The sequence below is a fragment of the Homo sapiens genome, chromosome 15 (genome assembly GCF_000001405.40).
Source record: "Homo sapiens chromosome 15, GRCh38.p14 Primary Assembly".
Classification (NCBI taxonomy): domain Eukaryota; kingdom Metazoa; phylum Chordata; class Mammalia; order Primates; family Hominidae; genus Homo; species Homo sapiens.
This window is the reverse complement of record NC_000015.10, coordinates 69131294-69134384: the sequence shown is the minus strand read 5'-3', so window position 1 is coordinate 69134384 and position 3091 is coordinate 69131294. Positions and strand designations below refer to the sequence as shown.

At 48.1% G+C, this 3091-nt stretch overlaps 1 annotated feature.

The window, feature by feature from the left end:
- Positions 601–895: a silencer, noted in NCBI's record as "tiled region #1691; K562 Repressive non-DNase unmatched - State 21:Repr". NCBI's record gives its function as "represses a minimal TATA promoter and a strong SV40 promoter by Sharpr-MPRA in K562 cells {active_cell/tissue: K562}" and the evidence as "EXISTENCE:reporter gene assay evidence [ECO:0000049][PMID:27701403]".

The window sequence follows — 3091 nt, the reverse complement described above, 5'->3', positions numbered from 1 at the left end:
TGTAGCATGAAAGCAGCTACAACAAACGGGCATGGCAGTGTTCCAATAAAACTTTATTGGCTAGATTTGGCCTGTGGGCTGTGGTGTGTCAACCTGATGTACAGGAATAGGTTTAAGATCTGAAAAGACCACCCAGAGGTGACCTACTCCATTCCACCTCTATTTCCTAATCTGATCTCTAAGAGAGGTAGGAAAAAGCAGAACCAGGTTCGGAGTCCGAGCCTGTGACTATCTCAATACCCACCTCTTGCTAGATCTCCCTGGCTCCCTGAAGTGGATTCCACCCTGCAGCATAGACCTTCTGACTAGTGGGAGCAGGGCAGAGGGCCAGTGAGCCTCTTTTGACCCTGATCCAGGGTCAGAGAGCATTGGAAGCAGATGAGGATCTGAATTTCCTCATCCAGCAAAATGAAATTGCCAACCCTGAAAACAAAAGCAATGAGAAGTAAAAAACCAAGTCTCACAGCTCCTTGTCTGTACAGGCCATTTGGCTGACTAGCTGGGCTGCAGGGTGGGTGCTGCCAACCAAGCAAGACTGCAGCCAGAGTGAGGGTGGCAGGTGATGGGCCCCCCGGGTCTAGGGCAAGGACAGTTCTGCTCACCATCTGCCACACTCCTTCCCTGTCCTCAGCCAGATGGGGAAGAACCTGGCCTTTTGGCCAGGCCCCACAGGGTGCCACTCTTCCCCCAAACTTCACAACAAGAAGCAGGAAGAAATGACAGATGCTCACTGAAGGCCCTGGGGCAAGTTGGGAAGGCAAAGCTTTGGATGGAAGCCATAGCCTGTGCCTGCTAGTAAAGGGACAGCTGGGGGCAGGAGCTGAGCAGCCAGGCTGGGTCCAGGAAGCCAATGAAAATATGAGGTCCTGGGAACAGTACTGGAATCCTAGAGCCTTAGCAGAAAGGAACTTTAGTGATTCTGCACTCCAACCCCGCTCCTATTTTACAGATGAGAAGACTGAGACCCATCACACACTTGTAAGCTGCAAAGTAGGAGTTACAAGCCATGTGTCCTGATTCTCAGCCCAGGCTCTTTCCACCAACAAATGTTTATCTTATCTTAAAGACTTTTGTCCACAGGGAATGTGTCAATGTGTAAAAATGACCATAATAATAGTATCTACCTCATGGGGTTATTTTGAAGGTTAAATGAATAACTACACAGTATAAGCTTTCTTAGAAGTGGGTTTCATCAGTTGGGCCATCCTGTTGTTCCTCTTTGTTGGTTCAGACTGACTAATTGATTTTTGTGTGTGTGTATGAAAAGAATGCCCTGACTGGGCATTGATCAGCTCAGCATAAAGACTTCTGCCTGTGTATTAGCCAAGAGAGAATGGATGATATGCTGCCGACTCTGTGTGTGTGTGTGTGTGTGTGTGTGTGTGTACATTTTAATATATATTTAACCTTGTCCTGGAGACCAGCTCACTGACAAACAAAACAAAATGCCCTCTCTGCCCTACCCAAGGACAGGAAGAGTATGGGCAGGTATCATAGCATTCTCAAGCACCCCACCCTCTGTGGTAGCCCTTGCTCTCAATTGCCTGGTAGATGCATCCACCTCAAAGCAACAAGTCCCAAATAGCAAGCATCACCTTCCTCATGCTCTGGCTCCCTTTCCTGATAATCCTGATGGAGACAGGATAGCCTAGTGGCTGAGGATACAAGGCCTGCGACGCAGACTGCTGGGTTCACGTTCCAGTTCTACCATTTACTTGCTGGGTGACCTTGGGCTAGTTACTTAAGTCTCTCTGTACCTCAGTTTGCCTATCTGCCTAATGGGGAGAATAGTGGTACCTGCCTCATGGAACTATTCTGAGGATTACATTCGTTAATACACTGTATATACAGATTAAGCACCATACAAATATGAGCTATTAGCATTTCCATGGTTCTGCACACAGGGCCCTTCTGACTCTTCCCAGGCCCAAAATGTGGGGCAGGCTTGGCTCCAGTCACACTAGTTCATGACTCTGGGCCCCAACTACGCTTTATACTTCTGGTCTTGCCTTTGCTTATGCCATAGCCTCTTCTGAGACTGTTTCCCACCCCTTCCCCTATCCTTCATCTTCTCTTCCATTCTGCCTCTCCCTGAGTGGCCCCCGTGGACCCCTGCTGAGGGGGGCTTTCCCTCTTCAGAAATCTTAAAGCAACACCTCCTCCGTCTTTTGCAGGGTTCACTCCCAGGCATGGCCTTGCACTGCCGATTGCCTTCTGTTTTTCATGAAGAAGAAGGGTTCACTTTTCAAAAGTTTAATTTTAGGAGCCTTGAATTTAGCTTCCTACCACTGGGTCGGCTCTCCTAATAGAGTCAGTCGCCACAGATAGTAACACCCTGTTCCTCTTTCCTTCCTTCAATGTTTAAAGTTACTGATTCACTTTCAAGAGTGGCTCTTTTTAAACTGTGTGATGACATTTTCTCCCTAGCAAAGGCCTTGAGGGCATTGTTCAAGCACCTCCCCAGGGTACCTTGAGAACTGCTCAATAAAGATGGCTCTATTGGTTAATCGAGTGACTGGCTGATCAAAAGACCTTCCAACAATCTGTGTGCAGGGCTGTAGAGCCAGCTCAGGGAGCAGGAAGCCTGGTCACAGGGCTGCAGTATCCTGGTCCCAGAGAGGAAGTGAATCTCAACTTCTGTAAGCCCTCCACCCTAGTGTCTCTCATCTTACTGCAGTTTCCCCTTTCCCTGGGGCACACTTAGGTCCCAACTGGCTCCTGCAAGCAACCTGCTGGGCTCCTGCTCCATCAGGGCCAAAAAACCCATCTCCTATAAGTGCTGGTGCTGCCTTGATGAATTCTGCCTGGCAGGAGGACTGTGGCCCGGTTGTCCAATCGATAATGCCCAGCAGAGGCCTTTTGAGAACAGAGCCAAAGAAAAATAGCAAGCGTTGTTTGCTTAGTAAATGAAACTTTGCTAGGGACAGTATTTTCCTTCTTTCTCTTTTTTATCTTAGCAACTTGTCAGTTATTCTTGCTTCTCTTTCCTCTTCTTTTGCCCCTCCTCTGCCTCTTCTCTCTCTCTCAACTCTGTCCTACAGCAGCAAGGCAATAGCTTTTAGCATTGTTACTTGTGCCTCAAATAATTCTT